The sequence below is a fragment of the Homo sapiens genome, chromosome 10 (assembly GCF_000001405.40).
Source record: "Homo sapiens chromosome 10, GRCh38.p14 Primary Assembly".
In the NCBI taxonomy this organism is placed as follows: domain Eukaryota; kingdom Metazoa; phylum Chordata; class Mammalia; order Primates; family Hominidae; genus Homo; species Homo sapiens.
Genome location: NC_000010.11, coordinates 84,244,125 through 84,267,292, shown reverse-complemented (window position 1 = coordinate 84,267,292; position 23,168 = coordinate 84,244,125). Strand labels below are relative to the sequence as shown.

The following is a 23,168-nucleotide window of genomic DNA, read 5'->3' as shown; positions in this document are numbered from 1 at the left end:
CTTTAGTGCGCCCACTAAAAGCCCTGGCCCTATTATCTTGTGGATGATATCATGATAATAAAATAAAAAGCCTTGGGCTGAGGCTCTCCTGCTGGCCTATGGTCTTTGGAATTTGGGAGAATTAGTAAGAGAAAGATGAGAGCAAGCCATAGAACAAGAGCAAGTGAAGAAGAATGAACACCTAGAGAGAAATATATATTAATATAAAACAGCAAACAATGGCCTCAGAGATAACTCAGAGTAAATCTCAGTTAAATCACTCTTCATGAAACAGAACTGTTCATACCACTCCCCAAAAGTGGTGGTTCTCACTCATGGCTGCATATCAGAATCACCTGGGAGCTTAAAAAGCCCAAGCCAGCCAGCCCTTTAAACCTACCACATCAGAATCTCTGTGCCAGGGACCTAGACAGCTATAATCTGTAAGGCTCTCTGGGGCTTCTCAAGTTTTAAGGTGCACACAAACCAACTCTAGGGGTCGTTAAAATGAAGATTTGGATTAAGGAGTTCTGAGCTGGGCCCTGAGACTTGAGGGCCTGAGACATTTCTTTTTAAAAAATTTTTATTTTATGTATGTATGTATGTATGTATGTATGTATGTATGTATGTATGTGTGTATGTATGTATTTACAGAGACAAGGGCTCACTATGTTGCCCCGGCTGGTGTCCAGCTCTTGGACTCAAGTGATCCTTCCATCTCAGCCTCCCAAAGTGCTGGGATTACAGGCATGAGCCACCACGCCCAACCCTGAGACATTTCGAACAAGCTCCCAAATGAGGTTGGGGCTTCCAGTGCAGGGATAACACATTGAGTCACCAGGAACCAGGTGATTCAAATTTGCAAACGAAGTTGAGAACTGTGCTTGTGAGGATGTTGTGGGGATTAAATGAGGGAGTAGTTGGGACACTTGTGGTGTGTAATCGCCAGTCAATTATCACAATTCTCCTACACACCCTTTTCTTGAGTGACAGCAAAGAGTAGATGATGAAGTCCCTGATGGAACATATCTAATATCTATTGAGCACCTACCGGGTACCATGTGCTTTAAAGTATGCCACCCAAATGAGTCCATTCTTGTGGATGTGGAACAAACTCAGAGATAAAAAATTTGCTCGAACTTGCTTAGACATTTGTTAAAAAATACTATTCGATGACACTTGTGAAAGCATGGTAAAGACTTTATTCAGGACCATCGCTATAGGTGTAGGGACAGCTGCAATGGAATGTTGCAATGGGTGAGAGAGATGGACAAGTCGGAAACGATAGCCCAGGAGCAGGGTGTGGTTTGCTGGATGGAAAATTACTAAGATGAAACATCAAGAATAAAAGGGATTCTGGCTAAACCTATCGAACAAGATTCTTGCTGAAGACAGGCCAGGGTGATCAGAAATCACCTGGGGGATGGTGCAGGCTGAGGAACCTGATCAGATATCCAGGGCTGATGGTTCTTGCTAAACTAACTTAATAGGGTTCTTTGCTACAACTGGGTGTTACAAGGAAGTTCAGAGATGGGCCTAGAAGAAGGTTCAAGAGCCTGACTCGAGTTTGGTCAAGCAGAGAATCTTTGTCACATTGAATAAATGGTAAATCCTGGATTCATGCCCAGGGATTTCCAACACCCAAAGCTGAGCCCTTTCCAATCTGCCAAGCTGGCTGTGATCTAGAAGGCGAAGGCGGTGCATGTGTTGGACAGCTGCAGAGGGCAGGGCAGCTGAGCTGAGGATGCTGTGCAGGGGATAATGGAGGCCATTGTGAGAGCTGCCAGGTGGATGGAGGGAAGAGCAGGTGTGTGATGTTGGGGCCAAGGAGCAGCTTAAGAGAGGAGCAGCAAGTTACCTCAACCGAGAACAGAGGGAAGACTTAAGGATTATATCTCTGGCCTTCACCCAGTGCTTTCCCAGCCCTCGTTACCTTAGAAACATTGCCCACAATTGCCAAATGTCATTTATTGTGCCTCTGCCTGAGGAGTGGGGTGCTTCTCCGAACCCTCCTGCCCCACACCCCATAGTTTGCAGTGTTCTTCCACCTATGATCACAGCATGAGGGCTAATCACCACCACTTTTCAGATGAACAGTCCCAGGTTGGAGAAATCCAGGGACTGCCCTGACTTATCAGTCAGACAAAGACAAAACCCAGGCCCAGACCTCTTATCAAAATGCTGTGGTGTGCAGGGCTTTGGAGGCCTCCATTTGGCTAGACATTCAATGGCTGTTCTATAGACAGAGAAAAGGGACTGACTCCATGGGGCCATCAAAGACTCCTCTGGCCAACGTGCATGACACTGTGTTTCCTTTAAGAAAGAGAGAGATGTGGAATCATGTCATCATTTGAGGTAGAAACAGTTAAGTGTCAGGTTTCGTCTGTATCACGAGCAGGCAAAGGAAAACGTGTCGGAAATCCTGCAGGAATCAATAACCCACCCACGCGGCCTCAGCAGGAGACCCCCAGGCTCTGCGGAGAGGCACTACCATCAGGGCTGGCAGCTCAGGATGTACTGATCATTGAGAGGGCACTGCCACCTTGTGGTACCTGCTGAGCACTGCGCCACCCTCACATTCTGCCCAGTGCGAGTATTTATGCATGTCGGATCTCTGCTTTTCCCTTCTCTCTTCATTTACCTTAGATGACAGGACAGATAATAGTGATATTTACATACACAGGGAACACAAGAAGGGAGACAGTTGTGGTGGGAAGGAGAGTGAGCTTGTATTTGAGAGAATTGGACCAGGAGTATCTCTGACAGGGAGAACAGCAGAAATTCTATTAATTATGAGGCAAAAAGAAAGATATGAATAAATTAGGCCAACTTCTTTGCCAATGAATTTATTTATCTATATAGAAAATTTGTGGGATCCCTTTTCCCTTTAACAGGGAATATAGATACTGTATAGTTCAGGCAGTATCTAGTTGGTATCTACTTTCTTGCTAGACAATCAAATGCACAGCCCTTTCCCTCCCCAGGAAAATTGTGCCAGTGAAGGTCTCCGGAAGGGGCCAATCCTTTACCTTGGTTACAACTTTCTACTTTATTTGTGATGTCAAGTCCATTTGGCAATAGGCAGAGCCATCTTTCCCAGCAAGAGGATGAGGTGGGTGATAATATTCTACGGTACTTACATTTCTTTGTGAAAGAACTCAAATACATTCTAGAATCAATGGATCTTAGAGTGGGAGGGGATCTTAGAAGCCAAATTTTATAACTTTTAAATGGGATTTTTACAATCCCCGGGTTCTGCAGAAGTGGCACTGGGTGTTCCTGGGCTGGGGGCACCAGTTGGGCTGTTGGTCCCCTCCATTATCATCTGTTTCAATGATGAGCTTTGATGTAACACTGTATTAGTTTGTTAAAGCGGCTGTAACAAAATACATAGACTGGGTGGCTTAAGCAACAGAAATTTATTTTGCACATTTCTGGAGGCTGGAAGTCGGAGATCAAGTTGCCGGCAGTGTTGGTGTCTGGTAAGGGCTCTCTCCTTGGGCTGGGCCAACTTTTCACAGTGAGCTCACATGGTCTTTCCTGGACATATGCTTGGGGTGGGAGAAGAGGGAGCTCAGGCTCTCCGGTGTCTCTTCTCATAAGGACACAATCCTATGGGATCAGGGCTCCGCTCTTATGACCTCATTTAACTGTACTGGGTTTCAACATAGGTATTTCAGGGGACACAAACATTCAGTCCACCACAAACATCTAGTTTGGAGAAAAAAAATTCGATAGTGTTTGAGAATCTTCTGCCTGTGTCAGAGCCCTGGGGGACTGAGATGATAGAGGGGATGGGCCAGAGGGGGTCTTGACTCCCAAGGTTACCCAGCGAGGGGATGGCAAGGCCTGGTCACACTACAGGAGTGCATGTTATGGGGCCTTCCTCTGTGGATGCCAATTTAGGGAAAACTGTTCTTAGAAATCATGGTGGTTTTCTTACATAGGACTATGTGGTTTTAAAAAAATAGAGAAACAAAAGAAAAAAAATGGTGATTTCCAAGTCAAACAGAAAATTTTAAAAATCCAGAATGGGGCTAAAATTGGCTACACATTGAAATTCAGTGGGGGATAATTCTCTTGAAATACAATTAAATCAAGTACACAATGAAGCATAGAGTGCACGCTTAATTTATCTAGAGCCAGGGATAACTGTTTAGTTTTGTGATAAGGACTTGCAGAGATTCTGAAGGAAATTTCTGGGCTATCTTGATAACCTTATTATTATACCTGATTTCACTTACTTGGACATGGCTGTACCGTAATTTCTATCTTTGATTTCCTAGCTATTGTTAACACCTGTATTTTACTCACAAATGTAACGAAGAGACAAAGAGGCAGTGGACATTTTCTGGCAGTATCTGGAAAGGATCTTGGTACTGCGTCGTCGCATCGAGCACGTGTCTGACACACAGCAGCTGTTCAGTAGATACGTATTGGATGGATAGGTGAATATGTCAGAACTAAGTGACACAGACAGGGATTCAGGGGGTCAAATGGATGCTGGCTTACAAATGAGGAAGTGATTGCTGGAGGTGACATTTTCTGGTGCTTGATGCTTGCTGGTTCTGGACGTCCACCTCCTGGTGGCCTCTTCCAAGTCCAGTCTGTGTGTCTGCATATCAATGTGGTCTTTAGTGTAGAGTGTGGCTAGAGGCCAGGGCAGGAGAAGTTAGGCTGGTTCCCCGGGCCTCCAGTGAAGATGCCCTGAGCCCTCGAGCTCTGCAGATGAGGCTCTAGCACAGTCTCTGCTATTTTCACCCTTCTTTCTTCCTTCCTGACTTCTCCAGACTCAGTCTTCTCACCTTGCTCTTGTTCCCCTTTCCACAATGTGGCCCCAGTTCTCCAGGGCTGCACGGAACTTGGAGAGAGCACTGTGGTGCTAGTGATGACTAACATGGGCGGGGGGACCTTGTTGGTGTGTCCCCCTAAAATTCATTGTGTCTGCAGGGGGTGGCATTAAGGGGTCACAAGTGAATGGAGAAAAAAGACCAAGGGGTGCCCAGGAAAGGGTGAGCAGTTGCTCCAGAGGAGCCTAGGAGGGAGGCAGGAGAGGAAGGCTGGTGGGGAATGACGCTCAGCAAACTCAGACTGATGGGGCTTATCTATTCTTCCCCTCCGCTCTGTGGGACGGAGCTTGCTTTCTCCTGCCTCCACGGTCCTGGGTCAGCTGCGCCTTCATCATCAGACTTCCTCAGTCACCTTGCCCACCATCTCCATTTCCCTTCAGGGCCCCGGGTCTCACCAGATATACAGATATACATTCAGGGATGGGGACTCCTGCATTAGTGTCACAAACCCAGAGGCCCACAGGCTCTGCAGGGAACATACAACTACAGCCAGGGATAAAACACTTGAAGGAGGTAGAAGTAACATTACTCTTTACATGTTTTTGTGATTGCAAAAGTGGTACATATTCATTGTAGAAAATCAGCAGAGAGCTTGAGGACTGTGAATCCATCACCTTAGGGGTTGCGCAGAGCAAAGCGAGCCTGAGAAGGATTTAGGCCTTTGAGGGCTGTGGTCTAACTTCTGCCAGGCCAAGTGCCAGGGATGGGCGGACTCTGATTCCTATCCCAGCTCAGGGACTGTGCCAAGGGCCCACAGGGAGGTGGACTTCAGACAGGATTCAGCCACTTTCTTTGTCCTCTTCCCCCAGAGGCAGCTGAGCTGCTTAAAAGAAGGCAGGGGTGCAGGGGAGGTTGTGGGGTGAGTGGGAAGGAGGGCAGAGAAGAAGCCCTGCACGCAGTGTCACAGGGGACAAGATCCTAAAAGTGCTTGGGAACATGGGCAGAAGAGCCTGAAGGTGATGAGTCTCCCCAAGCCCACTCCATGAGTGGGAATTGGGGGGTGTGGGCCGACATGGGGCTTCTGAAGTGAGTAGCTTCAGGCGGGACTCTGGTCATTCCTCACCAGGTGCTGCTTCAGCCCTTCCCATCTCCTGCCAACCCAGGCCAGGGTGGCCATTCCCAAGCCCTCCTTTCACTCCTGCGGGAAGCCTTGGGGATGCAAGGCTTGAGCTTAAGCCATCCCTGAAAGCAGCCTAACCAAACCACCTTCCTCCCTGCCTCTCCTCTGAGCACAGATGAGGACGCTGATGTGTTCGGCCTCGTCTCTTTCTCTTGGGGACTCGGGATGGCTCTTGTCACAAACCCAGAGGCCCACAGGATCAACAGGGGACACAGGCACTGAGGTTGACACAAGAGCATGTGTCCTGGGCAAAGGGCCGAGCTGCCCTGAGCTCTACAAACTGTAACAATGTAGGAAGGCAGCCGGGTAAAGCCTCATCTTCTGACATCTGGATTTAAATAAACTGTCCTGATTTTTAAATGTTGGCAACAAACCTCAAAACATTTTAAAGTAATGTGCAGGCCTAGCCCCGTATTACCAGAGGCTGTCTTTGACTGGCATGTACTGGTGGCTGATACTCCATGAGCACTTACCATGACAGGGAATGTTCTGGTCCTTTCTGTGTAGTCAAGTTGCCACTTCCATCATCTCACCTCCCAACTTGGGAAACGATGCACAGGCAGAGGAAGTGACGGGCAGCAGATCACGATTTAATACATGGTGTTTGAATGCTGGCAGCCTGGCTTGAGGTCCCATAAGCAAACCCTGGGGCTTTTACCCCTTTCTATGTAAGACTGAGTCCCTGCAAGGCATGGCCAAGACTTAACGAACAGCTCTGTTTTAATGAGTATTTTCTATGTGCTTAGTGAGTACATGTTATCTTCAAGCCTCACAACAACCCTGTGATGTCCATGTTAACATCCTTATGTTAAGGGTTAGAGGATTTAGAAGGAGTGATGTTAGGACACCTTTTCAATAAATGGTGCTGGGAAAATTAAATTGCCATATGCAGAAGAATGAAACTGGACCCATATCTCTTACCATATATAAAAATCAACTCAAGGATAGACACGGTGGCTCATGCCTGTAATCCCAGCACTTTGGGGGCCAAGGTGGGTGGATCACCTGAGGTCAGGAATTTGAGGACAGCCTGTTCAACATGGTGAAACCCTGTCTCTACTAAACCCCAAAAAATTAGCCAGACATAGTAGCGCATGCCTGTAATCCCAGCTACTTAGGAGGCTGAGGCATGAGAACTGCTTGAACCTGGGAGGCAAAGGTTGCAGTGAGCTATGATGGTGCTACTGTACTTCAGCCTGGGTGACAGAGCAGGACTCCGTCTTAAAAAAAAAAAAATCAACTCAAGATGGATTAAAGACTTAAGTGTAAGAATGGACACTATAAAAATCTTGGAAGAAAATCTAGGAAAAACTCTTCTGGGCATTGGTCTAGGCAAAGAATTCATGACAGAAACCTCAAAAGCACAAGCAACAAAACCAAAAATAGACAAATGGGACTTAATTAAACTAAAAAAGTTTCTGCACAGCAAAATAAACCATCAACAGAATGAACAACGTGCAGAACCGGAGAAAATATTTGCAAACCATGTATCCAGAATATATCCAGAATATATAAGACTATTATATATTATCCAGAATATATTATCCAGACTATTATCCAGAATATATAAGAAACTCAAATAACTCAACAAAAAAAATCCAAATAATGCCATTAAAAAGTGGGCAAAAGACATGAATAAACATTTTTTCAAAAAGAATACATACACGTGGCTAAGAAGCATATGAAAAAATGCTTAACATCAAAAGTCATCAGAGAAATGGAAATTAAAACCACAATGAGACCTTATCTCACACAAGTGAGAATGGCTATTATTAAAAAGTCAAAAAATTACAGATATTGGTAAGGATGCAGAGAAAAGGGAACACCTATACACTGTTGGTGGGACTGTAAATTAGTACAACCCCTATGGAAAACAGTATGGTGATTTCTCCATACTGTCTTAAAAATAGAGCTACCATTTGATCCAGCAGTCCTACTACTGGTATCTACCCAAAGGAAAAGAAATCAGTATATCAAAAAGAAACCTGCACTTGTATGCTTATCACAGCTGTTTACAGTAGCAAAGATATGGAATCTATCCATCAACAGATGATTGGATAAAGAAAACGTTACATATATATAACGTTTATATATGTATATGGAATGGAATACTACACTGCCATAAAAAAGAACGAGATCATGTCTTTTGCAGCAACATGGATGAAACTGGAGGTCATTATTTTAAGTGAAATAACTCAAAAACAGAAAGTCAAATACCACATGTTCTCACTTGTAAGTGGGAGCTAAATAATGTGTACACGTGGACATGGAGTGTGGAATAATAGACATTGGAGACTCAGAAGGGTGACAAGGTGGGAGGGGGTGAGGGATGAGAAATAACTTAATGGGTACAACGTATATTATTAGGGTGATGGTTACACTAAAAGCCCAGACTTCACCACTAGGCAATCTATCCATGTAACAAAACTGCACTGTACCCCCTTACATTTATTATTATTTTTAAAAAGGAATGACTTTCCTGAGGCCTCTCAGCCTTGAGTGTAGGGGGCTGTGACCGACACTCAGGTCCATCTGGCTCTTTCTGTGCAGCCTGGTGTCTTTCTGAATCCTGTGTCCAGCCTAGGACCAGGATCCACGGGGCCACTGGGGAAGGTGGGTGAGTGTCTGGGCTTGGCCACTGAGGCTGCTGGGCAGGACTCCTGGAACAGCCTCCTGGCCTGGGGCTCACTCCAGGGTGGCAGGCTCACTTGGTTCGGTCCTTCTCCCTCTTCTGCGGTGAGAGGCACTGCCAGATTCCCCTGCAGACCATCTCATTGCCCAGGGCATAGTTGATGGCATTGATCGTGGGCACCATTTTGGCAATGAGGGCGGGCACCTGTTGTGGCAGAAAAGTCCAGAAAAGAAGCTTCAAAGCCACTGATCCTCTCTCTGGTCTCACCTGGTGACCCCGGTCACCCTCCACCTACAACTGCCAATCATTTAGTTCTGCAGCCTTGGAGGCTTCCCTGACTAGTTGGTGGAGATGCATGGCTCACGGAGTCCATGGAGCCATACTCTTGTCCAGACCCACCTGCTCCCAGCCTGGGGACTAATCTCAACCCCTGGTCACAGAGTCTTTATCTACACCATCTGGCTGGCTGTCCCTGTCATCTCACATGAGGTTTGGGCAATGTCAAGCAGCAGCCTGGTATGACTCAGAGACGAGGTGGGGGATTAGGGGGGCAAACTAATGCTCTATGCCTTGTGAGTATCCAAAGGAAGAAACACAGAAAGGAAGAGACTGACACAGAGGTCATAAATCCAGAAAGTGAGATGAGATGAGACAGAGAACAAAGATGGAGAGGGGTCTAGTTTTAGGTACTAGAAGTATCTGTACCATCTGCAGTTTGGGGGAGATGGAAGTCACGTCTGCGATGACTGCGTATAGATACAGGATGGCATAGGGGCCCCAGCCGAGCAGCAGCGTCCTTGCTGGCAGAGTGGTGTTTACCTGGGGAGAAATTGTCACAGGAGATGTCAGCTTGCTCCAGGTGGCCCACAGCCCTATGTGGCCAAGAAAACCAGGTCAGCACTCAGCAGGGCGGGGCAGCATGGACCAGGCTTCAGGAGGGGGCTGAGTCTGCAGGGGAACTTGGGACCAGATGGGCCTCTCTGTTGTTTAAGACTGTGTGACCTTAAGCCTTTTATTTAAACTTGCCTGACCTCAGCTGCTGTGTCTGTAAAATGGCCTGACAATACCCAACGTGGCTGGAGGCCGAGACTGGGTGGATAATGAGCGCTTCCTCCTGGGTCTGTACTCTTTGTTTGTCAAATACAGAAGGGGTCTCACTATGTTTCCTAGGCTGGTCTCGAACTCCTGGGTTCAAGGGATTCTCCTGCCTCGGCCTCCCAACGTGCTGGGATTACAAGCATGAGCCACTGTGCCTGGCCTGCGTCTGTGCTCTTTAAGAGGAATCCTGGGCTCTGTGACTGCGTGCTCAAGGGGCCCCAGGCTGAGCTGCCCTCAGGCCTCAGTCCTAGAACCAACTCGTCATCCACAGCTACAGCCACCCGGCGAGACCACCCTGTCTGGGCTCCCAATGTGAAATACAATCAGCGGGGGAGGGGCTTGTCCAGAGAGCGGGAGATGCTGGGGTGCCGCCTGGGGCCATGAGGGGGCGCAAGACTCGCGCTTTAATTTCAGCGGGAGCTGCCAAGTTCCAGCCCCGCACAAACACGCGGACGTGCAATTCTGACGCTCAAGTTCTTGCCTGTTTTCTCCCTGACCTGACTTTCTTTAACAAAGAGGGTGATTAAGCTGGAAGAGGGCATATTTTCTTCCATCTTGGATTATTAAAATATGTTGACCAAGAGACTTTTTTTTTCCTCTTAACTGTCCCTTATTTGGGGAAAAAAAAACCCACGAACAACGGAGCTCAGCACCTCGGGGCCCTCCCGGGAGCCGAGGCCCTAAGACGTGGAATCCCCTGGGGAGGCTACGCGGTCTCGGGAAGCCGCTCAGCTTGGGATGAGGTCCCTGGACCCCTGCGTGTGACCTTGGCGATGCCCACCAGAGACAATGGTTTAAAGTCAACGCAGAAAAATGAGGAGATCATGGTGGCAGCCTTGTCTCCCGGCTGCCTGAGCCTCCAGTAAATGTGAACTTTGCACCTCCAGACAGGGCTTGGGACCGGCATCGCGGAGGACAGCCTAGAAGCGGCGCCTATGCCAGCAGCCAGCTGGGAGCCAGGGGACTGGATTCTGGTCCCAGGAAAGCCCTTTCTCTCCTTCTGACCTCGGGGGAGCATCGGGGCTCCAGCTAAAATAGATTTGCACAGTCCTTTTCCAATTTACAATAAATAAATAAAGTGGCAGATGAAGTGACTTAAAAAAAAGAGTTTCTTTCATGCACTGTGATTGACCACATGGGTGGTGGAGTCCCAGACCTAGGTTTGAATCCAGGTGTGTGGTTTTTGGTGAGTTGCTTAGTTAACCCCCATCTCAGCCTCAATTTTTTAGTCCGCGACACAGGGATAAGAAAACCTCCTTCTGGCCGGCACGATAGCTCAAACCTGTAATCCCAGCACTTTGGGAGGCTGAAGTGGGTGGATCACCTGAGGTCAGGAGTTCAAGACCAGCCTGGCCAACAGATACAAAAGATACAAAAATTAGCCAGGCGTGGTGGCAGGTGCCTATAATCCCAGCTACTAGGGACGCTGAGGCAGGAGAATCGCTTGAACCCGAGAGGCGGAGGTTGCAGTGAGCCGAGATTGCCACTGCACTCCAGCCTGGGCAACAGAGTAAGACCTTGTCTCAAAAAAAAAAAAAAAAAAAAAAAAAAAAAGAAAGGAAAAAAAAAAGAAACAAAGAAAAAAAAAAAAGGCTGGACACGGCAGCTCACGCCTATATCCCAACAATTTAGGAGGCGGAGGCGGGCGGATCACCTGAGATCAGGAGTTCGAAACCAGCCTGGCCAACATGGAGAAACCCCGTCTCTACCAAAAATACAAAATTAGGTGGGTGTGGTGGCACATGCCTATAATCCCAGGTACTCGGGAAGCTGAGGCAGGAGAATCGCTTGAACCCCAGAGGCGGAGGTTGCGGTGAGCCGACATCACACCATTGCGCTCCAGCCTGGGCAACAAGAGTGAAACTCGGCCTAAAAAAAAAAAAAAAAAAAAAAAAGAAAGAAAACCTCTTTCCTCATAGAGTGGTTGCAAAGAAATAATATTAAGATCTGAATTTGTTCTAATCTTTGTTGCTTGTTACGACTCCTTTGCTAGAGGTCATCCAGGTGACCAAGTTAAAATAAAACCGTGGCAAGGGAATAGTAATTCAGAAACTAAAAAATGGCCAGGAGGGCTTATTTTGAAGTATTGTATTTCTTGGACAAATGTGCTTATAGGTTGATTTTTATCTTTTGGGCACCACCCTGTGACTGTGATTAAATTAAACATCTCAAAGCGGTTTAAAAGTAGCATTTAAAAAGCCTGTAACTTTGTGCCAAACCTCACATCCTTGGCAAGAGTTAAGTGGAACAGCACGGATGTGTCCAGTAGGGAGCCCTGGTCCCCAGAGTTACGGGGTCTGGGTGAATCTGAGCAGTCCTGATCCTTGCTCCCCAGGCCTTGGCGATCTGAGCAAAGGGAGGGTGGTTTCCAGTTCTAACATCCTATGCTGTGCACAAGCTGGATTTTCTCTTGATCACTGAAAACGCAGAAAACCCCTGGTTGCTGTCTGTCACATTGTTCATATTCCCTGGTGTCCCTGAGAGGAAACGAGAAATTACTGCTGCTCTTGAGGCAGGAGAATAGCAGAGGGAATTGGAGGTTAAAGGGCGGAATGAGTAGAAGCAGAAGCAAGGTGAAGAGGCAGTGAGCAAGAAGCAAGACAAGAAACAGAAGTTGAGCAACCAAAACACAAATAAGATTAAAAAGTGAGTAAGAAGCTCCTGTGGCCAGCTAGGTCTGGACCAAACCTGTCAGGGGCAGCTCCTCAGAGATGCGCATGTGCATTAGAGAGAAAAAGTATCCTTAAAATGACCCCGTATGATAATAAGCTTATTAAAGCTGATGCATATGGACTGCATATCATGCATGTACTTAAGATTATGGGATGGAGGTGACAGGCAAGCACACAAGGGCCAAAGTAACATAAGCAACCCACCTATCAATCAAAAGGCAGATGCTGGCTAGAGATTAGGCAGCCTTGGGAAGAGAAGAAAAATAAACATATAAAAGAGCCCAAAATACACCAAACTGGTGCTGATCTCACTTCGCAGAGATTGGTCCACCCTCCCCTCTCTGAGAGTGTAATACTGTGCTGAATAAGCTTTTGCTGCAAAAGCAATGAATATTTGTTTTGCTGTTTGTGTGTGTCACATCCAATTCTTTGTTCGGGACACCAAGAGCCTGGAGCTGCGCTGCACCATCAGATAACACTCCGGAAGGGGGTCCTTACCTGGAGATGGCCACTCTTCCCCAGTTTCTGCTCCATGAGACTGTAGGAAGTGATCGTGATGAAGAGGGGCATGGCGAAGTTGAAGAAGGACATGGTGAAGAGGAAGCTGGTGAAGTTTCTACAGGGAGAGCGGGTGGAGGATTGGGGTTAGCTCTCAGGGATGGCCAGCTGCCCTCAAGGACCCACCAGCTCTGCCCTAGATGATCGGTTGTGGGGAAATGCCCCATTCAGACAAGCTCGCAGTGTGGTTGCTCCCGGGTCCCAGGTGAACTCCCTTTAGGAGCCAGGGAGCTACAAGGAGGAAGAGGCCTCTTTCTTGTTCAAGTGCTCAGCCCTGCTTTCCTGTTTGTCCCCCAAGCATGAAGAATGGGAAATTTTAGTTTGGGAAACATGTTCACCCAATGGTGGGGATGTCAGTGGGCCAAGAGAAAGGAACATTCAAGGAGCATTCTAGGCCCAAAGGTTTTAAAAGGAGACGGGATAACAAGAAGACTGGATACTGTGTCACTGAAGAAATGGTTGAAGGCACCACAGAAGAGCTTGGGTTCCCAGGTAGTGGTCATGGGGAGGTGAAGGGAATAGTGGGAGTCCCAGGGAGACAGATTCCCATTTTCTGAAGGGAAGACTATGTCACCTTGGAGCCGTCCACCAGGGAGGGGCAGCTGGAAGGACTGGACCCTGGCTGGGGAGTGCCATGGAGGGACACTTGGACCAGGCCCAGCGTTCTCAAGAATGCATCACCTGGAAAGCCTGTCATCCAGTGCAGATGCCTCATGATTAAACACCATGGGTAAAGCAGATGAATGCAACTTGGCTCTGGTGGAAGCAAGAGGGGCTGGAGCCCATGTGACCATTCCTCAAGGCAGTTCCTAAAGGATCCCCCTAAGCCCTTGTCTCCCTAGAGCCTCCTGATGGGGCAGTACCAGAACACGAGCCCCATGAGGGTGGGGACCCTCATGCATTCTGTCCTATTTCTCCAGGGATTGCCTCATAGCGTATGCTCAGGGCATTCCCTCCCAATGCAAGGACCTTAATGTTCTTTGAATCTATTGTACCAAGGGCGTGGCTCCCTCTAGAAATTGATGAGGTCAGAGCCATGATGGTCGACTGTGCTGAAGATGGCTAAGAGGTGGTGCGGCTTGGTGACTGTTACCACTGACACAAGCCAATGGCTCCCTGTATGATGTCTCTTTTTGGGTTCAACTCTGGGTCCCAATTTTCACAGCATTCCCATCACCTGGCCAGTTTTCAGAACAGGCTTTTTCCAGTCCCACTGTCCACCTGCAGGTGGGTATCATGATTAAGAAGTTGAGATTGTCTGGCAAACGTTGACATTTCCCCATTTGGATTTTCAGCTGGGGCACCCTTGTCATAGGAGTTCAAAGCCAAGATTCCCATGGATAGGAGCCTCGAAGCTGCTCCTCCCACCTCACCTGTCCCCCTTGGAGTAGTCCAGGGTGCAGCATGTCCCCAGTGGCTCATAGTCGTAGTGACCCCAACCCAGAAGGGGCAGAGCTGCCCAGAAGGCAGAAGACAGCCACACGAAGAGCACCAGAGAGACGGCTGAGTTCCAGGCCAGCTGGCTACCTGCACAGGACAGAGGAAGAAGAGGAGGTTGTGAGGAGGAGATGGCCTGATAGAGTGAGAAAGAATGGACTTCCTGATCTCGAAGAGTGTCCCTTCAAGTGATCCACCAGCCTCAGTCTCCCAAAGTGCTGGGATTACAGGATTGAGCCACTACATCCTGCCAGAAGGAGGTTTTCTTATCCCTGTGTTACGGTCTAAAAAATTGAGGCTGAGAGAGGGGTTAACTAAGCAACTCACCAAAATGAGAACCCCAGCTCTGATGCTTAATAACTCAGAGCCTCAGGCAAGTGAAGAGCTTCTTTGAGCCCCAGTATTCTCGCCCACAATGGGAATGATAATCCTTGCCTCAGAGGATTGTTATGAAGAATGAAATAGATAATGGATGGTGAAGGTCTCCAAATAGACACACTATACCATCTTCTTCAGAGGACAGAGACGAGGGAGTGGCAAAGAGACAGATACGTTTTCAGAGACAAAGTTCAGGAAGAAGCATAGGCAGGGGTTCAGGTGAGGGTCATAGGGGATGGAGGCAGAAGTCTGGACTTACCACCATCCTCAGCACTTGCTCAGAATCAGGCCACTGCCCCTGCTTCCAGGACACCCTCTGAGAATGCTTGACTCGGGGGTTGGGGCTCAATCTCAGTGCCAATGGCAGAGGCTGGGTCCCAGCAGCATCTTTTGATATGAACCAGCCATGCTGATTTGACCTCCTCTAGTCCCTTCCCTGAAGCCCCCCTCTCTGCTGCAGTGTCATTGGGTCCTTCCCATTCAGTGGTTCCTCCTGGATCTGGCTTCAGGATGCACTTCCCAGGTGCCCTCCTCTGTCTACTGTTTTTTTGTCATACTCCTTTGTATATAAGATACCAGGGCAGAGGACAGTTCTCCAGATGGGTTTTGATCGGGAGAGAAGAGCATGTCTACAACCTCCCTCATCTGACAGTTTGCTTCTACTGATACGGCTCCAGATGGAGTTTGCTTGGATGTGACCTTCTGATATGAACTGAATGTTTGTGTCCCCTCAAATTTATATGTTGAAGCCCTAATCCCCAATGTGATGGCATTTGGAGGTGGGGCCTTTGGGAGATAACTAGGCCATAAGGGTGGAGCCCCCATGATGTGATTAGTGCCCTTATAAGAAGGGACACAATTAGCTGGACATGCTGCATGCGCCAGTAGTCCCAGCTAGTCAGGAGACTGAGGTGGAGAATTGCTTGAACCCAGAAGGCGGAGGTTGCAGTGTACTGAGATGGTGCCACTACATTCTAGCCTGGGCAATAGAGTGAGACTCTGTTTCAAAAAAATGAAAGAAGGAACACAAGAGTGACAATCTCTCTCTTTTAATGTGAGGACATGGCAAGAAGGTGAACATCTATAAACCAAGAATCAAGCCCTCACCGAACCTGACCATGCTGACACCTCGCATTTGGACTTCCCAGCCTGAATAACTGAGAAATAAATTTCTATTGTTCAAGCCACCGAGTCGATGGCATTCTATTATAGGAGCCTGGGCAGACTAAGACACCTCCCATCCCAACTGTGGGCACGATAATTACGTGCAAGGACAGGAAGACTCAATATAGTTAAGATGTCAGTTCTTCCTGTCTTTTTTTAAAAAAATTTTTGAGACAGAGTCTTGCTGTGTCACCCAGGCTGGAGTGCAGTGGCGTGATCTCGGCTCACTGCAACTTCCACCTCCCAGGTTCAAGCGATTCTCCTTCCTCAGCCTCTCAAGTAGCTGGGATTACAAGCTCATGCCACCATGCCCAGCTAATTCTTGTATTTTTAGTAGAGATGGGGTTTCACCATGTTGGCCAGGCTGGTCTCGAACTCCTGACCTCAAGTTATCTGCCCACCTCAGCCTCCCAAAGTGTTGGGATTACAGGCATAAGCCACCATGCCTGGCCTTTTCTTTTCTTCTTCTTCTTCTTCTTTTTTTTTTTTTTTTTATTGAGGCGGAGTCTCATTCTGTTGCCCAGGCTGGAGTGCAGTGGTGCCATCTCAGCTCACTGCAACCTCTGCCTTCCAGGTTCAAACAATTCTCTGTGGGCACAATAATTAATATCTACCTGGACCATTGTGCTGCCTCAGACTTTCAGCTTTAGAAACAGATGGCCAAGGTGACATGCCTACAACCACCCAGGGATGGAGTAGATGAATTCAGACCTCCTCATTCCCCTTTGCCTGCCTTCACACTGCTCTGCCATGCTCTCAGTATAGAAAGGGCTTTGATCTAAGGCCTCTGGCACAGGGATTAACTGTTCTATATTGAGGCAGAGAAGCCTGTTGCTATCTGAGAAGGTGGTGTGTGTGTGTGTGTGTGTGTGTGTGTGTGTGTGTGTATAAGATGGTCCAAGGGAGCATTAGGGGCAGGGGCTGGGATGTAAGGAGTGGGAGAAGTGCTCTGAGGCCAAGTGGACAAGAGGGCTAACCTATCGCCACTCAAAATGATGAGACCGATGGCAGCATTTTGGCCTGGAGAGAGGCATATGACAGGAGAGACCCATGAGGGGCAGTGAATTTTCAGGGAAGGGGGCTATACATGTGACTATGGCAAGGGAAGTTCTGTGGATTCCAAAGAGGACATGCCATGGTTTGAGGCTGTGCTGGCTATAGACCTCACAGCAGCCTCTGTGCTGGACAAATTCATAGCTCAGGACTTGGAGGTACCAGGTCATGCCCAGTGCTGGCTCTGCCCTTAGTAGCGAGGCAAGCTGCTTAACTTCTCTGTGCCTCTGCTTCCGAGGCTGTGAGCTGAAGGTTTGCTAGGAGGGTTAGCTGAGCCACAGCTCCCCAAAACATGTTTATGTACCCCTGGTGGTAAACAGGGTTCTAGATGGTCTCTGGTGAACAGGTTTTTATTTTAATTGTATTAAAATTATAAGAACATTAAACCTGTGATTTCCCAGATGTTGTTTAGAATGAGCTTGTAGCAGGTGTTTACATTTTAAAAAATGAGTCACTTTTAAGAAAAAAAAAATTAAGGAAAAATGGAGCAGTTTGTACACTGATATGGCCAATTATGAAGATGGTATTTGACAGTGCAGCTTGTGAAATCTAGAGCTGGACAGTTTTCATGAAGCCTCATGGAAGTGTGGGGTGCCAGGGCACATGCCCAGCTACACACACATACACACAGCCTCTCTGCGCCTGTCTGCAGAGTAGTGCCTGTCTGCAAGGGCATTTTCTGTATCCCTGATCTCATTTCATTTTCAAAATAAAACTGAGATTGGTTATTAAAATCATCTCAGCCGGGTACGGTGGCTCACGCCTGTAATCCCAGCACTTTGGGAGGCTGAGGTGGGTAGATCACGAGGTCAGGAGTTCAAGACCAGCCTAGCCAATATGGTGAAACCCCATCTCTACTAAAAATACAAAAATTAGCCAGGTGTGGTGGCACATGCCTGTAGTCCCAGCTACTCAGGAGGCTGAGGCAAAAGAATCACTTGAAACCAGAAGGCCGAGGTTGCAGTGAGCCGAGGTCACACCACTGCACTCCAGCCTGGGCAATAGAGCGATTCCGTCTCAAAAAGAAAAAGAAAATCATTTCGCAGAGGAGGAGACTAAGGTTCAGAGAGGATCCCTGACTTGCCCAAGGTTGCGGTAATGGCAAGAGAGGCCCAACAGCTCTCCTGCACACTCTCCCACCCTCCCTCCTTTCCTGAAATGAGTGCCTATGCATGCACACTCACACCTACCCACACTTCCCTGTACTGGGAAACACGGAGCAGTAGCTAGTTATGACTGCCCCTCCCTGCCTCTTATCCTCTCCACACTGCATCGGTGTCCCTCCACTCCAGGAGCCCAGATACATACGGGTGCAGTAGTGGTGATAACGCCCCCATGCGATGGCTGCACTGCTGCAGATGCTGGCCAACGCTGTCACAAAGCCCTGGAAGCCGTGAGCCTGGCAGCCGTCCGAGCCGTAGGGCCAGCGCCTGTGGGAGACACTGGGCACCAGTGACCTCTCCTCCGATCCTTTCCACCTCCCACACCTGCCAAGTACAGCTTGGAGTGTGTGTTCCTGAATGCTGCCCTTCTTCTCTGAAGAGGGCCTTAATATTGGTGTCTTTCCTATGAGGCGTTGGAGCTCAAGTAACTGGGCTGAAGGGGTGGAGCCCAATGCACACTCTCCAGGCTGGGTGACTTTGACTGCACCATGGTTGGGCCATAGGCTCTCTCTGCGTGATCAGATCCCTCTGTCACAGGAGAGCTCATGCCTGTATTTGATAGGTGGGGAAACTGACATTCAAAGAGGCAAAGATACTGAAGCCAAGGTCACACAGAAGATGAAGGCAAAGTCAGAGGGGAGATCCCAGGCCTCCCCAGCCTAAAAGGGCAAGCAAAGGTGGAAACTTCAATTCTCTGTGGGAGGAAGAGTTCTCACTGATGCAGACCCCCCAGGCTGGTCAGCACTGAGCATGCACATCCGGGGGGGCTCCAGCCTCCGTCTGTAGTGTCCAAAACCAGAATGAGAATGTCCAGTCTGCTTCAGAAAACAATTTTATAAACACCTTCTGAAGCTGTGATGGAAGACCCTGGTTTTTGTATAAGGAGGTATTAGACACTAGCTAGTTATGACTGCCCCTCCCTGCCTCTTATCCTCTCCACACTGCATCGGTGTCCCTCCACTCCAGGAGCCCAGATACATACGGGTGCAGTAGTGGTGATAACGCCCCCATTTGTGTTCACAAACACTTACGTAGAGTCCTAGGTATCAAGCATTATTTTAAGTTATTTACACATAATAGAAGTAAATACTTCCAACCACCTATATGAGTTAGGAAATAATATCCGATTTATGGAAGAAGCCCAGAACTAGAAATGCTGAAGCCAGAATGCAAACCTAGGTTGCTTGGTTACAGAACCCACACCATTGATCTCTACAGCCTACCATCTCTTTCATCAGGTTTCAGCAACCCCTGTCTTCCAGAAATCAGCTGTCGTTCTTCAGAATCAATCTGGAATTCAGCCCATTTTAGCCTGCCCACCCTCTGCCCTTGGCCAATTTTCTGTAAGTAGTAAAAATGCCCTTGGCCTGGCTGCCCAGGGCCCAGGGGTCAGGCCCCAGGCAGGACCCCAGAGCCTGTGGACTGGGGAGGGGGCTGGTACCGGAGAAGGCTGGATGTGGCTGCAACGAGGGCATTCAGGCTGATCCCACTGTCCGCAAGAGCCAAGCTCAGCACCAGTAGGTGGCAGGGAGTCCGCAGCTCCGGGGTCTTGCAGAAAGAGAAGATGGTCAGGGTATTGAGGCTGAGACCGGAGAGAGCTGAAAGGAAGGGTGGGGGCTGGCATTGGGGCTGCTGAGGCCCAGCTGGGGTCAGAACAGTGTGTGTGGGGTGGATGGAACATCAGCAACCTCCTGGACAGACAAGGAAGACAATCAATATAGGGTAGCATGCTTCATGCTATAACAGTCATAATCACTGACAGCTGCCAGGCACTTAGCACACACCAGGCACCAGGATAAGCACTTTATATGAGTCATCTCATTCAATCTTTACTTGGATACTCTCTTCTCCATTTATAGCTGGGAAACTGAGGCTCAGAGACACTAGCTAACTTGCCCTAAGTACACAGCTAGTAAGCGGTGGAGCTGGAACTTGAATTCAGGCCTTTTGGATTTCAAAATGCCTTCTCCAAGGACTGTAGAGCAAAGTCAGAGAGGCTCCAAGGAGAAGAGTCGATGTTAGAGCTGGGAGCTGCCCAGGACGCCAGGCATGGAAGTGAACATGAAGGGGGCGTACTCTGGCAACAGAGAGACCCGACCTTGAATTTTGGCTTGGTTGCCTCGCTTGCTGCTCCTTAAGCTCTCTGAACCTCAGCTTCCCCTATCTAAAGTGAGGAACAGGAAAAAATCCTGCCTTCAAAACTATGAGAAGCACTTACCTGCAGGACAGTGCATGGAAGAGCATTCCAGGAGGGAATAGCATGTGCAAAGACATGCTATGGTACAATGAGATACCACCTTACTCCTATAAGAATGACCATCATTAAAAAGTCAAAAAACAATAGATCAATGCCATGGATGTGGTAAAAAGGGAATGCTTATGCACTGCTGGTGGGAATATGTAAATTAATACAACCTCTATGGAAAACAGTATAGAGATTCCTTAAATAACTAAAAGTAGATCTGCCATTTAATCCAGCCAAAAACACACATGCACATCTATGCTTACCGAGGCACAATTCACAATTGCAAAGATACGAAATCAATGTAAGTGCCCACTGACCAATGAATGGATAAAGAAAATGTAGTATATATACATCATGGAATAATAGCTGTAAAAAGGAATGAAATAATGTCTTATTACAGCAATTTGGATGGAGCTGGAGGCCATTATTGTAAGTGAAGTAACTCAGGAATGGAAAACCAAATGCTGTTTGTTCTCAGTTACAAGTGGGAGCTAAACCGTGAGTACGCAAAGGCATTCAGAGGACACAATGGACTCTGGAGACTCAGAAGGGGAAGGGTGGGAGAGGGAGTGGGATTAAAAAAACCTACAAATGAGGCACAATGTACGCTACTTGGGTGATGAGTGCACTAAAGTCCTAGCATTTGCCACGATGTAATTCATCTATGTAAACAAAAATCACTTGTATCCCCAAAGCTATTGAAATTTAAAACATATTTTAAATAAAATAAAAACCAAAGCATTGTGTATATAATGACATTTCTAGTCATTAAACATGAAATAAAAATGTAAATTTAAACCCCTTCCAAAAAATAAAGTGGTAAAATTTTATGGCATGTTTGAGGACCTGGAAGGATGCTAGATTGTAGGGTTCTCAGGAAAGGGAGACACGGGCTGGGGCCACCAGACAGTCGTGTCCAGAGCCTTCAGGACCAATCTAATGACTGTCACTTCCTCTCCATTGTCAGTTCTCATTAGGTGAGAAAACGTGCTGATGATTTCTCTGGGTCTGCTTTGAACCAAAGCTGCGTTCTCCATCAATTTAGCTTGGGCTGGCCCAGATTCAGGATTGACACTGTCTCTAGCTCTGGCCTCAGCGAGCATCTTAGGGATTCTAGGTTGAGGTAGGTACCTCGCAGACCCAGGTTGCCTCCAGAGGTGAAGTGCTTGGGCTCATAGGAGTAGACACAGTGAAAATAGTGGTGGGGCTGGAGAGGATGGGAGTGAATGAACTTAAATACCCTAGAGTCTATTTAGGCTAGCACTTTATACCCATTATCCCATTTAATCTTTACAACCACCCATTCGGAATGTCAAGGCATTGAGGGCAGAGAGCTGAAGGGACTTGGTTCCAGCCACACAAGAGCAGGAGGCAGAGCTGTCTGTCCCCAGAGCCTTTTGGGGGACTGATCTTATGTGGGATTCTCAGCAGGATTTCCAAGGAGTGGATTAAATTTTCTCCCGGCTGGAGGGACATGAAAAGTCCTAAAGCCTGGCTCTTGATCATCTCCTGGGCAGATGTCCCCTTTCAAAGTCCCTCCCTCCCTGACCCTTGCCTGGCTTCCTCTCTGCTCCCAGCGGGCAGTGTGCTGCACCTCACAGGTTCAATTGTCAGAACACCCCCCGAGTCCGGGCACAGAGGGGAAGGCAGCCAATGGGACCGGACACCCAGCTGGGTTTGGGGACCTCTCCTCTCCTTGCCAGCTCCACACTGGTGGCCTGGGTCCTCAGAACCCACTGGGCCCCCGCTGCACCCCAGGTTCTGCCTGGCTCACCTTCCACCAGTAGCACCATCCCCACAGCCAGCACCTCGAGCTCCCCGAAGCCAGTGGGCAGGGCACTGGTCTCTGCCATCCTCACTCTCCCTCACTGCCAGTGGCCCAGCTGTCTCTGGCTTCCCACAGCCAGGCCCTCCCTTTTAAAGGGCCATCCCATGTGCGTGGAGGCACATGCAGGTTATTATGTTGGACCTTGGGCTGTTTCTGGATGCCTCCCCGCTGCAAATGGTCCTCTTGGCCCAAGCAGAAGGAACCCATTCACGAGTTGGACAATGCAGCCTTTGTGAAGCCAGAATGGAGCCCTGTCTCATTCATTTCAGCCCCATTGCACAGGATTAAGGTCGGGGAATCCAAATGGTGTGTGGCTGAGAGCCTAATTGGAAAAGAGTTGCATAACCAGGGGAGGGGAGCAGGAGGAGGGATTTGAGCCGCAGCTGTTCCCAACAAGCCTGGTGCCTGTGTGTGTGTCCTCAGGCTCACATGAGTATACTCCAAAGCGCTGGGGAAAGGATGAGGCTTGGGAAGTCGCCTGCTGTCAGAGGAAGAACCCCATCTGGGACCAGAAAATGGGGTTGGGGTTCTGGTTCTGAATCTGCCACTAACTAGTTATGCGCCTTGGAGTGGGACCACTGGACTCTTCCGTTTACTTTTCTGCAATGTCAATGTCTTTTGTCTGTGGCCTTTATATAAGTCCTGGTTAGATATCACGAATATAAACCTCAGGGCTGCATTTCCTGTCTCCCATAGAGCACCTGAGCATAAAAAATGTCCTAGGACACTGTCTTAGAACAGAGGGGCTGCCTGCCGTCTTGTCAGTCTCCGACCCCGAACCCGCCCAGCCTTGCCGGCCCCACTAAGAGCTTTGGCTGCTACAAATGACTTCTTGATACACTGGCTCTTTATGCACTGTTATGCTCTGGCTCATGATAAAATTTACACCAGGAAATACTGATCTAGGACAACTTAGTTCATTTTCAGATAAAGAAACCAAGCTCCAGAGCACTATCAGCAACATAGCTAATATTGAGTGAGGTCAGGCCCT

General features: G+C 48.2%; 1 protein-coding gene across 3 annotated transcripts, besides 2 other annotated features; it reads right to left on the bottom strand.

The window, feature by feature from the left end:
* Positions 2,443-2,592: a silencer, noted in NCBI's record as "silent region_2553". NCBI's record gives its function as "represses an Ori minimal core promoter by ATAC-STARR-seq in GM12878 lymphoblastoid cells {active_cell/tissue: GM12878}" and the evidence as "EXISTENCE:reporter gene assay evidence [ECO:0000049][PMID:35858748]".
* On the bottom strand, positions 7,333-22,240 carry RGR (retinal G protein coupled receptor). 3 transcript variants are annotated; one of them, NM_002921.4, is made up of 7 exons: positions 22,124-22,240; positions 19,546-19,702; positions 18,250-18,383; positions 14,283-14,436; positions 12,850-12,967; positions 9,287-9,400; positions 7,333-8,785 (listed from the first exon to the last, which is right to left on the bottom strand). In NM_002921.4, the coding sequence occupies exons 1-7, from the start codon at positions 22,200-22,202 to the stop codon at positions 8,654-8,656; spliced, it is 888 nt and encodes a 295-aa protein (NP_002912.2). In that variant the 5' UTR covers positions 22,203-22,240; the 3' UTR covers positions 7,333-8,653. The 3 variants fall into 3 exon arrangements, with proteins under 3 accessions (NP_002912.2, NP_001012738.1, NP_001012740.1); NM_001012720.2 differs by having other exon boundaries at positions 18,250-18,371; NM_001012722.2 differs by lacking the exon at positions 9,287-9,400 and having other exon boundaries at positions 18,250-18,371.
* Positions 21,595-22,094: an enhancer, noted in NCBI's record as "H3K4me1 hESC enhancer chr10:86004955-86005454 (GRCh37/hg19 assembly coordinates)". NCBI's record gives its function as "activates a minimal SCP1, AML or CMV promoter by ChIP-STARR-seq in primed H9 embryonic stem cells {active_cell/tissue: H9 hESC(primed)}" and the evidence as "EXISTENCE:reporter gene assay evidence [ECO:0000049][PMID:30033119]".